Source organism: Homo sapiens, chromosome 16 (genome assembly GCF_000001405.40).
Source record: "Homo sapiens chromosome 16, GRCh38.p14 Primary Assembly".
In the NCBI taxonomy this organism is placed as follows: Eukaryota; Metazoa; Chordata; class Mammalia; order Primates; family Hominidae; genus Homo; species Homo sapiens.
In genome coordinates this window covers 67,921,453-67,933,578 of record NC_000016.10, presented here as the reverse complement: position 1 = coordinate 67,933,578, position 12,126 = coordinate 67,921,453, and the positions used below count along the sequence as shown (strand labels likewise).

The 12,126-nt window shown below is 56.1% G+C and overlaps 2 protein-coding genes across 2 annotated transcripts in view, besides 4 other annotated features; one reads left to right on the top strand and one right to left on the bottom strand.

Annotated features, from left to right (window-relative positions):
• CTRL (chymotrypsin like) lies at window positions 1,717-4,005 on the top strand. The gene is made up of 7 exons (NM_001907.3): window positions 1,717-1,778; window positions 2,378-2,481; window positions 2,580-2,659; window positions 2,772-2,853; window positions 2,991-3,171; window positions 3,261-3,394; window positions 3,484-4,005. Exons 1-7 carry the CDS (start codon window positions 1,727-1,729, stop codon window positions 3,643-3,645), a joined length of 795 nt encoding a protein of 264 aa, NP_001898.1. The 5' UTR covers window positions 1,717-1,726; the 3' UTR covers window positions 3,646-4,005.
• Window positions 2,226-2,742: an enhancer, noted in NCBI's record as "H3K4me1 hESC enhancer chr16:67964740-67965256 (GRCh37/hg19 assembly coordinates)". NCBI's record gives its function as "activates a minimal SCP1, AML or CMV promoter by ChIP-STARR-seq in primed H9 embryonic stem cells {active_cell/tissue: H9 hESC(primed)}" and the evidence as "EXISTENCE:reporter gene assay evidence [ECO:0000049][PMID:30033119]".
• Window positions 2,743-3,260: an enhancer, noted in NCBI's record as "H3K4me1 hESC enhancer chr16:67964222-67964739 (GRCh37/hg19 assembly coordinates)". NCBI's record gives its function as "activates a minimal SCP1, AML or CMV promoter by ChIP-STARR-seq in primed H9 embryonic stem cells {active_cell/tissue: H9 hESC(primed)}" and the evidence as "EXISTENCE:reporter gene assay evidence [ECO:0000049][PMID:30033119]".
• The window catches only part of PSKH1 (protein serine kinase H1), a 36,423-nt gene continuing 28,199 nt past the window's right edge, over window positions 3,903-12,126 (bottom strand). Inside the window, exon 3 of the mRNA NM_006742.3 lies at window positions 3,903-6,254. Within this exon, the coding sequence (NP_006733.1) occupies window positions 5,937-6,254 (318 nt within the window). The 3' untranslated portion in view covers window positions 3,903-5,936. The remainder of the gene's footprint in view (window positions 6,255-12,126) is intronic.
• Window positions 4,023-4,733: an enhancer, noted in NCBI's record as "H3K4me1 hESC enhancer chr16:67962749-67963459 (GRCh37/hg19 assembly coordinates)". NCBI's record gives its function as "activates a minimal SCP1, AML or CMV promoter by ChIP-STARR-seq in naive and primed H9 embryonic stem cells {active_cell/tissue: H9 hESC(naive and primed)}" and the evidence as "EXISTENCE:reporter gene assay evidence [ECO:0000049][PMID:30033119]".
• Window positions 6,106-6,607: an enhancer, noted in NCBI's record as "H3K4me1 hESC enhancer chr16:67960875-67961376 (GRCh37/hg19 assembly coordinates)". NCBI's record gives its function as "activates a minimal SCP1, AML or CMV promoter by ChIP-STARR-seq in primed H9 embryonic stem cells {active_cell/tissue: H9 hESC(primed)}" and the evidence as "EXISTENCE:reporter gene assay evidence [ECO:0000049][PMID:30033119]".

Sequence of the window (12,126 nt, the reverse complement as noted above, 5' to 3'; positions counted from 1 at the left end):
TGTTTTATCATCTATTCATCCCTCTATCCATTAATTCATCGCTCCTTTTTTTTTTTTTTTTTTTTTTTTTGAGACGGCGTCTCGCTCTGTCACCCAGGCTCTGGAGTGCAAATATTTTGTTATATTTGTTTTATCATCTATTCATCCCTCTATCCATTAATTCATCGCTCCTTTTTTTTTTTTTTTTTTTTGAGACGGAGTCTCGCTCTGTCACCCAGGCTCTGGAGTGCAGTGGCGCAATCTCAGCTCACTGGAAGCTCCGCCTCCCAGGTTCACGCCATTCTCCTGCCTCAGCCTCCCGAGTAGCTGGGACTACAGGTGCCCGCCACCACGCCCGGCTAATTTTTTTTTTTTTTGTATTTTTAGTAGAGACGAGGTTTCTACTGAACCTGTTAGCCAGGATGGTCTTGATCTCCTGACCTCATGATCCGCCCGCGTCGGCCTCCCAAAGTGCTGGGATTACAGGCGTGAGCCACCGTGCCCAGCCAATTCATCTCATTTTTTGGCTGATGCTGTTTCTTTGAGATGGGGTCTAGCTCCATCGCCCAGGCCGGAATGCAGTGGTGCACTCATGGCTCACTGCAGCCTTGAACTTAAGGGCTCAAGTGATCCCTCCTGCCTCAGCCTTCTGAGTTGCTGGGACTACAGGTGTGTACCATCATACCCAGCTCATTTCTTAATTTAAAAAAATTTTTTTTGTAGAGACAGGGTTTCATGATGTTGCTCAGGCTGGTCTCGAACTCCTGGAATCAAGCCTCCTACGTCTGCCTCCCAAAGTTTTGGGATTACAGGTGTGAGCCACCACACCCAGCCCTGATCTGTTCTTGAATCAGTTAAAGCCCTCACACTCCCAGAAGGCCGCCAGCCAATGCACCTGTTGGAACTTTGCACACAGGGTGTCTTCTCCCTTCAAGCTTGGTCTGCAGCTCAGTAACAAATGGGCTACAGACACCAGGGGCTTGCCCATGGGAGCCCCAAGGCCTAAAGAGGGTGGCAGAGATTTGATGTCTGTCACTCTCCACCTGCAGCCTCAGTCCACGGTCGGCCAGGCACCAAGAGCTCACACTTTGCCCTCCTAAATGCCAGGCCCTTCATAAGTATCATCTCATTGTTAAGAGCGGAGGCTTCAGCGCCAGACAAATGCGAGTTTGTGTACAACTCAACCACGTGCTGGTGGGAGAGTCACCATCTCTGAGCAGACCTGTGACTCCTGTTCCAAATGGACGAGGAACCACTGCGATGATGTGTTAGGACTCCCAGCCTGCCAGAACCTCACAGCCCCTGGCCCTTCACAGCAAAGTTGACCGCAGTGAGCATTCCATCCACCAGTCAGAACACCCTGGACGCTGAGCGGCCTTCTCTGAAAGCCTGGTGCCTTTGTTAGCCCTGGGTGACTCCTGTGATCCCAGCCACCAGGTTGTCACTATAGACCTAATTTAACCATCTGTCCTCAGTACCGAGGGCTCAACATTTGGAATGGGAGGTGGTTCTGGGAGCCAATTAGAGGCCAGGCTTTGGGAGGTGGCAGAGGTGAGTCTCACACCTGGGCTCTGTCTGATAAGTCTAGGTCTCGGTCAGGGGACCTTGGCCTAAAGGGCCTGTCTTGCCTGGAGCGTGGGAGGGGGCTGAGTCTACACAGCTGGCCTGGCCTCAGGCCTGGAGCTTTAGCTCAAGGACGAGAAGACCCATAAAGCCAGACCCAGCTCCCAACCTCACATCTGCCACGATGTTGCTGCTCAGCCTGACCCTAAGCCTGGTTCTCCTCGGCTCCTCCTGGGGTGAGTGGGCCAGGACCAGCCCTGATTCAGCCCTGGGAGCAACTCAGCTCCCAGCAACAGCCCAGGGAAGGAGCTAGGCTGGCTGGAAGGGACGAAGGTGGACAGAGTGGGCAAAAGAAACAGGATATGCCAGGGCAGTGGAGCAGGGAACAGGCCTGCAGGGCTGGGAGGGGGCAAGAGGTGGGGTGGTCTCACAAATAGGACCAGAGATTGAGCCAGGCCCTGGAGCCCGGGAGGGTTTAGGAAGCTGAGACAGGAAGACCTGTCCATGTCTTTTAGAAAGAACCTTCTGGCTGCATGAAGGGTATGAACTGTTCAGGTCGGGAGGGGGCAGAGAGACCAGGGGTAGAGATGGGGAACAGCGGGGACTAGGCTGGAGACAGATGTAGGAGAACAGCAGGGCTGGGGGACTGGGTGGATAGGGATAACCAAGATAGCTGTGGGGCCCGAAGGTGCTTGCATGTACCCTGTTGGGGAAGGGGTAGTGCTGTACCCTCTCGACAGACCTCTCTGGGGTGCACAGCCTGGGGCACCCAAAAGGAGGTGGGGAAAGATGGGCTGAGGCATGGGAAGCAGGTCCTCATTAGCCCAATGGCCAGGCTGCGGCATTCCTGCCATCAAACCGGCACTGAGCTTCAGCCAGAGGATTGTCAACGGGGAGAATGCAGTGTTGGGCTCCTGGCCCTGGCAGGTGTCCCTGCAGGTACACCACCAGAGGGGTGGGCAGGGTCCTGGGTACGTCATGCCTAGGGGCAGCCTCAGCAGCCCACCCCCACTCTGACCTCTGAGCCCTGACCACAGGACAGCAGCGGCTTCCACTTCTGCGGTGGTTCTCTCATCAGCCAGTCCTGGGTGGTCACTGCTGCCCACTGCAATGTCAGGTGAGTGCCTGCATTCCACCTGCCCCGCCCCTCGCCTCTTCCTGCCTCCTCCCCTGGCTGTCCCCCTCTCGCGCTGGCCTCCCTGCAGCTGCCTAATCCCACCCCCTTGCAGCCCTGGCCGCCATTTTGTTGTCCTGGGCGAGTATGACCGATCATCAAACGCAGAGCCCTTGCAGGTTCTGTCCGTCTCTCGGGTGAGTGCCTGGGCTGCAGACACGGAGGAAAAGTGGGCAGTGCAGGTGGGTGGGTGCTGGGAACGAGGAATTCAGGACATGCCCTGGCCTACCCTGCTCAGCACCCATCAGAACATGGACTGTTTCTGACCCCACAGGCCATTACACACCCTAGCTGGAACTCTACCACCATGAACAATGACGTGACGCTGCTGAAGCTCGCCTCGCCAGCCCAGTACACAACACGCATCTCGCCAGTTTGCCTGGCATCCTCAAACGAGGCTCTGACTGAAGGCCTCACGTGTGTCACCACCGGCTGGGGTCGCCTCAGTGGCGTGGGTAGGGACTCAGGCCAAAGCTCAGGGTGGGAGGACTGGGGTGGGGACCAGTGTTCTGGGCCCCATGTGACCACCCCTCCTGGCCCACAGGCAATGTGACACCAGCACATCTGCAGCAGGTGGCTTTGCCCCTGGTCACTGTGAATCAGTGCCGGCAGTACTGGGGCTCAAGTATCACTGACTCCATGATCTGTGCAGGTGGCGCAGGTGCCTCCTCGTGCCAGGTAAGCCCCAGCACCCGCTCCTCTGCGCTGTCCTGTGGTATACCTCCCCAACCCCCCCTACTCAATTCTCCCTCCCTCTTCCCTCTCAGGGTGACTCCGGAGGCCCTCTTGTCTGCCAGAAGGGAAACACATGGGTGCTTATTGGTATTGTCTCCTGGGGCACCAAAAACTGCAATGTGCGCGCACCTGCTGTGTATACTCGAGTTAGCAAGTTCAGCACCTGGATCAACCAGGTCATAGCCTACAACTGAGCTCACCACAGGCCCTCCCCAGCTCAACCCATTAAAGACCCAGGCCCTGTCCCATCATGCATTCATGTCTGTCTTCCTGGCTCAGGAGAAAGAAGAGGCTGTTGAGGGTCCGACTCCCTACTTGGACTTCTGGCACAGAAGGGGCTGAGTGACTCCTTGAGTAGCAGTGGCTCTTCCTAGAGTAGCCATGCCGAGGCCGGGGCCCCCACCCCTCCTCCAGGGCAACCCCTTGGTCCTACAGCAAGAAGCCAGAACTGTTGGAATGAATGGCAGCCCTCCCTGGAGAGGCAGCCTGTTTACTGAATACAGAGGATACGTTTACAAACTGAATACGCATAATAAATAACTGCACATTCTCCATCCACAGGCCATGGCATGAAGGCCCAAGTGGGTCTATCAAAGGCCCACATCTCCAAACCCCCTGTCCTGCCCTCAGGACCAGGCCCACCCTGGGCAAGAGAGAACGTAAGCCCCAGGGCTTCAGGTCCCCAGAGACACTTGGGGAACTGGGGGGAAATTCTGAGGCCATGGGGCTTGGTTCTCCACTGCCTCCTGCCCAGGGGGCATTGGGGACGGTAGGAGGATGTGTCTAAGGCATAGTCGACTTGGCACAGAGTGGTCTCTTTAGTTTTGTTTCCCACTGGAGGTGGCACATGCAGGAAAAGGGCCTGGCCCAGGCTGCCGACCGGCAGAAGCTGAGTGGGAACCAAACCCTCCTGCAATGGCAGGGGCCCTGCCGTCAAGCTAAGGCCAAAGCTGGGCCCTGGCCCCATTCTACCCACTGAAGGCAGCTGTGGAGGAAGGGGCTTGGGTTCCAGCCTGGTTTGTGGTAGGGGGAGATACCACAAAAGAAATGGGGATGGTTCTGGCTCAGGCCTCTGGGAAAGCAGCCACCCAACCCCACCCACCTCCCGCAGGGGCTCCTTCCAGCTTGAGGCTCAGTGGGACCCAGACTGGAAGGTTAATGCTGTGAAGGGAAGCAGCACAGGGTGGACGGGGCAAGGCCAGCTGTGAGAAGGCAGTGCCCCTGGCACCCTGGTTTCAGAGGCAGGTCACACAGTATGGCTAAGTTCCAGGGAGGGGTGCGCAGAAGCTCAGCAGAAGGGGAGAGGTGAGCAGCCCGGGACCCTCCCCCAGGGCGGCAACTCCTACCTTCCCATGTCCTCATGGAGGACTACAGGTGTGCACCATGGGTGGGTGTGCACGATGGGCAGGTGTGCACGATGGGCGTGCAGTGATCACTCCCAGGCTGCCAACACCCATGCAGACACCAGATGGCGCCTTCGTGCAGCTGCAGAGGAGGGAGCAACAGAGCCTGAAGGGAAAAGGCAATGGGGCTGCACCAAAGGATAGAACCCAGGCTGACACTCGACCCTAATCGGGAGGACCCCCTTCCCTCTGCCTTGGCCCCCAGGTGCCCCATTCCCCAGGTAGCAGCAGTGGGGCTCCCTTTAACCACCCCCAGTTGGGAAGGAGGCACCTGGGGAATGGAATGGACATCCAACGGGGAGAGGGAGGTAGCGGTGGGCTCTACAAAGAAGGCACCAAGGGCGGTGGGCTGAGACCCCTCAGAATCTGGAGAGGCTGGAGCCTGGGCAAGCCGATGACCAGCATGGCCACACAGTCCAGAAGGGTGAAGGTCCACGCCATGGCCCTCCACCAGAGGTCCTGGGACCAGGAAGGCTCCCTGGAGGCACCATGAAGGAAGACAGATCTTGGCTGGGAGGTGGAGGGCTGTTTCGACCTAGCCAGGGGCTACGGGTCCAGTCAAGGCACAAGCTTTGTGCCTACCAGGGTCTCCCACTGGAGCATAATCTTAAGGATCAGGATGCATGGGAATGTGTGAAACCAGGGAGAAGGGCTCTGTGGAGGAAAGGGGGTCCCAGAAGTAACTGTCCCAAAGGGTCCTGAGGCCACAGGACACTCCACCCAGCACTGCAGTTCCCTTTGATTGGGGAAAAGTCAAAGGGCAAGGGAGACAGTGAAGGCCAGGTCCTATCCCTTCCCAACTCCACCAGAGCAGCTGCCCACCAAGAGGGGTATCAGTGCCAGGCCAGGCTCCCAGTTCAGGGGGAGTCACAGCCCCCTGTGCTACCTCTACTCTGTCACACCTGGCCCAGGCCCATGGTGAGGACAGGGGCTGCTGAAGGCACAGAGAAAGGGCTGGAGCCAGACATTCTTCACCTACTGTGGGCCACATAGGCCTATCTCCAGAGAGGGCATCGGACCCAGATGGCACCACAGTGTGTGGCCAGGCTGGGTCGTGCTGCATGTGTGCACAGCCAGGCGGCTCAGCCATTGTATTGCTGCTGGTAGCGCAGGTTGAGCTCCCGCAGCTCCCGTTCCCGCACACGGCGTGACTTATTGGAGCGTGTGGAGCGGCTGGAACGCGTGGACTGGGCAGATTTGGTGCTCTGGCAGCGCGAGGAGGCACGTTTAAGGAGGTTCTGGGATATGGAGCGGTGCAGGTTCTTCATGGATGAAGAGGCAGCCATGCTCACCACCCACGGGTGCCTCAGGGCCTGCAGTGCAGTCATACGGGCTCCAGGGTCCACTGTCAGCAGGCGGTCAATGAAGTCCTTGGCCAGGTTGGACACACTAGGCCAGGGCTAGAGACCAAGGACAAGCATTAGAGTGAGAGCATCTGACACTGCCCACCCCATCTGGATGAGGCCACTACTCAGCAACCCTCCCCTTTCCAGAGAGAGGTGCTGCCCCTCCTCTCATGTAGCACTTGGGGCCTCCCCGCCCAACGCTGGCTCAGGCTGAACAAGGGCTGCTCTCCAGGTGATGGAGTCTGGCAAGGAAGGAAAGGACCTGTGCACTCTCCCAGGGAGCAAATTCTATGGTGCACTGGACCCAAAGCCTGGCTCAGGGAGATGGCCTCTGCCAAGACCCCCCCGAACTTGTCCCAGGAGTATCATAACTCAGGGGACTGTTAGAGAATGATTCAAACTTTCCCACCACATCCTAAGTCAGATTGAAGCTCCAATCTCTGGATGACCAGGATCAGGCTACTTAAAGGGGAACTTCCTAGTCCTTACAGAGAAGATCCAACCTCTCTCCAACTGCCGAAGCAGTGGCAGAAGACCACTGCTCCCTGCCTCTGCCTCCCGGCATGGGGAGGAAAGGAAACAATTCAAGGCAACTAGATTTCCCAGTCGGCTGAGGGCAGGCGATCCCGGGACCAGGAAGGAACCAGGACCCTTCTCAGTGGCACCCTCTGGCCCGCATTACTTCTCTAAGCCACAAAGGGCTCCTGGCAGTGCTGTGCGCCAGCCTCATTTTAGTACATTCTGTCCCCTGGGAGGAACTCCATAAAGCCCACTCTGCCACATGCACCCCGGGCTGCCTCATCTCAGCCCCGAACCCAGCAGCTGTCTGTCTCAGGGCCTCAGGTTGTACGGCTGTCTTCACCTGACTGGATCCTCAGGTTCTCAGGGTAAAGGACACTTGCTCAGACTCCCTCTTAGCCCCCAGTGCTTCCAGCAATTATTCCAGCTGTAACGTGAGACTGCAATTTCATGTTCGTTTAGTATTCCCATGAGATCATGCTGAGCTGGATGAGCCCGTGCCTGGTGCTGCGCATACAGGAAGCACTCAGTAGGCACAGGCTCAGACAGTAAACAACCCACGGTGCTGCCGGATGGGTGCCCTTTCCTGGAGCTGCTTCCAGGCCTTGGGGCTCAGCCAGGTGAGTCCTTGCGTCCCTGCATCTCCTAGGAACACTTCTGGCACGGGCTCTGAGGCTCCCCCAAGGATAGGCAGCTAGGACCTTTCCTGAGCCTGCTGCAGATGACTCAACAGGGATGCTAACGATCCCCTCACTTTCCTTCCTGCCAGGTGAGGTCTGCCTGTTCCACCCATGGTACCCTTCACCACCCATGGTACCCTTCACCTTGAGGAACCCCTGAACATGCCCTCCAGGGGGTTCAGGAGGATCTGAGAGACCACCTTCAGGGCAGGTGCACAGCCATCTAGCAGACACACACACTCACTGACTACTGCTACTCCCAGTCTGGCTCGCCTGACCTCCAACTCTTTCCCTACCCCCTTCCCCACTGCCACAGAGGGATGAGGCAGGGAGAACACGCTTCCACCGTCCTGAGGAAGGCCTGGGGCTACCTGCAGCTGCTGTCTTCACCCACTCTTTGGAAGGTTATTCCAAGTTTTACTGAGCTGAAGTGGGAGCAACAGGGGAACCATATTCCCAAACACACCTAACAGGGTCATCCTCATCAGTGGGCCAGCAGCACCCAGTGACTCCTGGGGAGATGCTGGCCCCCAGGAGGAGGAAAGTCAGGGTCCAGGAGCATGCAGCCAACGAAGGCCCATAGATGCCTTACTATCCAAGGGCTGTGGGTGGGCGCAGAGAGCAACAGCCCTCCCCGACAGGCAGGTAAGTCTCCTGGGGGCTTGTGTAGTTCAAGATTCATATTGAGGGCCAGGCGTGGTGGCTCATGCCTGTAATCCCAGCACTTTGGGAGGCTGAGGCAGGTGGATCACAAGGTCATGAGATCAAGACCATCCTGGCCAACATGGTGAAACCCCGTCTCTACTAAAAATACAAAAATTAGTCGGGCGTGGTGGCGTGCCTGTAGTCCCAGCTACTCAGGAAGCTGAGGCAGGAGAATTGCTTGAACCTGAGAGGCGGAGGTTGCAGTGAGCCAAGATCGCACCACTGCACTCCAGCCTGGCAACAGAGCGAGACTCCGTCTCAAAAAAAAAAAAAAAATATTCATATTGAGGTATTAAGGCCAATATGCAGGGCAACTGGACTAGACAGCTGCCACAATAGCTTTTGGATCACAGCTCAAGAAAACCCCAAAAGCCAGGAGCAGTGGCTTCCGCCTATAATCCCAACACTCTGGGAGTCTGAGGCAGGAGGACTGCTTGAGCCCAAGAGTTCAAGATCACCCTGGGAAAGATGGTAAGACTCCGCCTCAAAGAAAAAAAAAAATTAATAAATTTTTTTTTAAAAAAGAAAGCTCCATGGTTGCCTCCTGAACACAAGGAACCACTACTGGGGGCAGCCAGTCCAGACCACAGACATTCACTGTAGCCCCCATCACCCACCGGAGAGACAGAAAGAAGCTTGATGGAGACAGCACACACACAGCTGAACAGAGTGGGTCAGGGGACACCTCTGCTGCCTGCTGGCCTTCTACAGTCTCCAGGAAGAGGAGGACTCACTAGGAAGCAGGCTGCAGCTCAGTCTGGCCTGTTGCTGGAACAGCCCCAAGACAGGGCTGACAGCCCAGGGTGTCCCAACAGGGCTGGGAAATGGATTCTGCCCCTGCCCCTTGGTCCAGCCAAGACAAAAGAGGGGCAACTCCCCTACAGAGGCCAGGAGCCTGAACATGGATGGACTGGAGGTTTCACCACTTCACATCCACACCCAGCGAAACCGTGGACCTGAAACTCCAAACCAGTCACCAGTGCAGTCTTGGAGGGGCCTCTCCCCAGACCAGCCCTATGGTCTTAAGTGTCTCCATCTTCAGAGTGGCACAGGCTCACACCAGCAGGCATCAACCCCTGCTGCTCATGGAGCGGCCGGCCTGTTAGTGCCAAAGCGAGCCAGATTGATCCCTCTCCCCGCTGCTCCCCAAGATTCTCGCCTCACCAATTACTGTGGGCATGTGGCTGTGCGCAGAATGCAGATGGACTCATTTGTCTGAGGGCTGGCCTGGCCTCTCTGGCAGGTCCCAGCTCTTCCCATCTTTGAAGAGCTGTGAGCAGCTAGGCCAGGTGGGTCCCCCAAGCCAAAGTGACTCAAGTCGTCCTGAACTGGTCCCCAGCCTAACCCTTGTACACAGAGGAAAGTCAGGCTGAACACAAGAAGGTGGTCCTCATCCAGCTGACAGTGAGGCAGGGGCTTAGGGTGACCTTCAGAATAGCAGCCTCTGGAAGCCCTGCTGAGGCCTCCCACAGGGCTTAGAAAAGTAAGGCTTTCCACACTCGCCCACAGCCAGGCTTCAGGCCTCACATCAACTCAGCACCTCCTAAGAAAGCACTCAACGCCAGCAGCCCAACCCACCTGCTTCCCCTGGAGCCACGTAAGTATGTGTGTCAGCCAAGGGCTGACTGGCTGGGAAGCATTCTAAGCAGGAGAAAAGGGAAAATGATGAATAGTCATGCTCTTCAGTCTCCACAACTCTGTTTGTTCTAGGTGAAGAACTGAACTCGTGCCTCAGTATACTTATTTGAGCCATACCAGGGACACACATGGCCTCAGTTGGCTGACAGATGGCACAGGTGCCAAGACCCACCTGGGCAGTCTCTGAGGCTTCCACCTGCTTCTGGGCCGACGTGGAGCACGAGGCACAGAGGGAAACACTAAGATGTCAGCTGGCTCTACGCCCAGACTCTCAGGTCTTCCCTTGCTCTGGGATCAGAGAACAGCTTCCATACCCAGGGTGACAGCCTCCACTCTCTCCTTTCCACAGTCTCTGGGCAAGTCAGTGGCTCACACCTCTAATCCCAGCACTTCGAGACACTGCTGCGTGAGTGAGGGCTGGGTCCTGCTTCAAGAGGAAGACAAGCAGGGGCTGTAGGAGGAGGGCATCACCTCTGCTCTGATTCTGACCATCAAGCTGGCTGCCTTCCTCCTGAGTCCATGGCCCTCAAAAGAGTCCTTTTCCCCTTGCAGTTAGGGTACCTGCTCCTGATGTTGGAACAGCAAAGATGCCAATAATGGGTATGGGAAGCGACCTCTTCCGTGAGCACCTCCTTACCAACTAGCCTTCCTCATCCCCCTACCCATGCTGGGCCAAAGCCACTCCTAGGCAGTGGAGTCCTACTCCCCCTGGAGAGGGAGAGGCAGCACAGCAGGAAGGGCTTTCCGCTCCCGCCTGAGGACCCCCCGCACCAACCCTTTTCGTTTGCTCTAGCTCTAATGTCTGGCACAAGGGCCTGGCATGAACACTACCCAAGCCACTGCCAGCGGTCTCACCTGGAGCCTAAGGGCTAATGAAACAAAGAACAGCGCCAGCTCTCTAGCAGAGGCTGCAGACAGAGGAGGAAGCTGCTTCTTTCTGGCAGCAAACACAGCTTACAGGGCGGCCCTAGACTTCCTCTGGCAGGCAGGGCTGCCTACTGGCAAGTGAGGCTGGGAGAGAAAGGCCCCTTGGTGTGTCTTCTGAGTGGCATCTGGGATACGTTAAAGGGTTAGATTGCAAGCCCAGCAACCTGAGTTCTAGTTCTACCTTCTCTGTCGGCCTTAGAGAAATCACACCGCCTTCACTTTTAACACGAGGAAGGGGCTGAATGTCATGAACTCTAAGTCCCTTCCAGTTTATAAACTCCTGGATTCCTTTTTCTCCACCTTTTCCTTCACGTGGCCACATGTGAAGCGCAGAGTTTAGCATTTAAGCTGACCTCTTGAGCCCTGGGTTCCTTATCTAACCAATGATGATTCTGGGGCAGGCTGGCTGACAGAGGAGGTGGCCCCACCACAGTGCTTCTAGAGAAGGGATGGGAAGGGAGGAAGAAGCCTGGGCTTTGCTACCATGACTCAGTTCTTCCCTCAGCTCTATTTCAAGATGTATTTTCAGACCCACTATTCCCACCTTCAAAGGCCTCCTTTCTGTACTTACGTGGGCCTGAATGAGAGCAGAGAAAAGGGCACAGAGGAAATTCTGGAAACAGAGCTTTGAGTTTACTCAGGAAAGCAGCATGACAACAAGAACGGCACCCTGTCATGCTGCCCACGACGAAGAGCATCAGCAGAATTAGACACTGTGTGGCAGCAGAGCCAGCATCCCCTCCTGTGGTCAAAAACCCATCATCCTGGTGCCTGGGCTTCCAGACCAGACAGAATCTACCACCCTGGGACTCGGCAGAGGGCGGGTGAGGGGCAAGCAACAGAAAAGGGAAGGGTGTGGGGGGAGAGAGCCTGAGGAGAGAAATAGAGGGAAGATAATGCAGTTTTAAAAACAAGTAGAGAATTAAAAAAAAAAAAGCAGAGAATAAAGATTAAAATGAGAAAAGGTGTGACAACTTAAAGGTTAGTAAAGCTGTGTTCTGAAACTTGAAATGGATAACAAAATGAAATCGTGTGCCCCCACCTGTCCCTGCCCAGAGCCAGAGTGGAGGGGAAGGAGAGGAGAGAGACAGGACACAACTCAAGATCGAGAAGGATGCTATTTGCTCGCTTTGCAATAGGCCTGTGCCACCAACATAGCGATGTCTGCTTTTAACAATGTCCTGGAGTAGCCCTGGAAGGTTCCAGATTTAGAAGCCTGCTGCAGCGTGATCTCTTTTATCTACACTCATCAAGGGTTCCGCTGAGGCCAAGTGGTTCCCAGGGCCCAGCCTGGTTTTTTGATTTTTGTTTTTGTTTTTTTTTTTAAGAGAGACAGAGTCTCACTCTGTCACCCAGGCTGGAGTGCAGTGGCGCGATGTGCAATCTCAGCTAACTGCAACTCCGCCTCCCAGGTTCAACCGATTCTCCTGCCTCGGCCTCCCAAGTAGATGGGACTA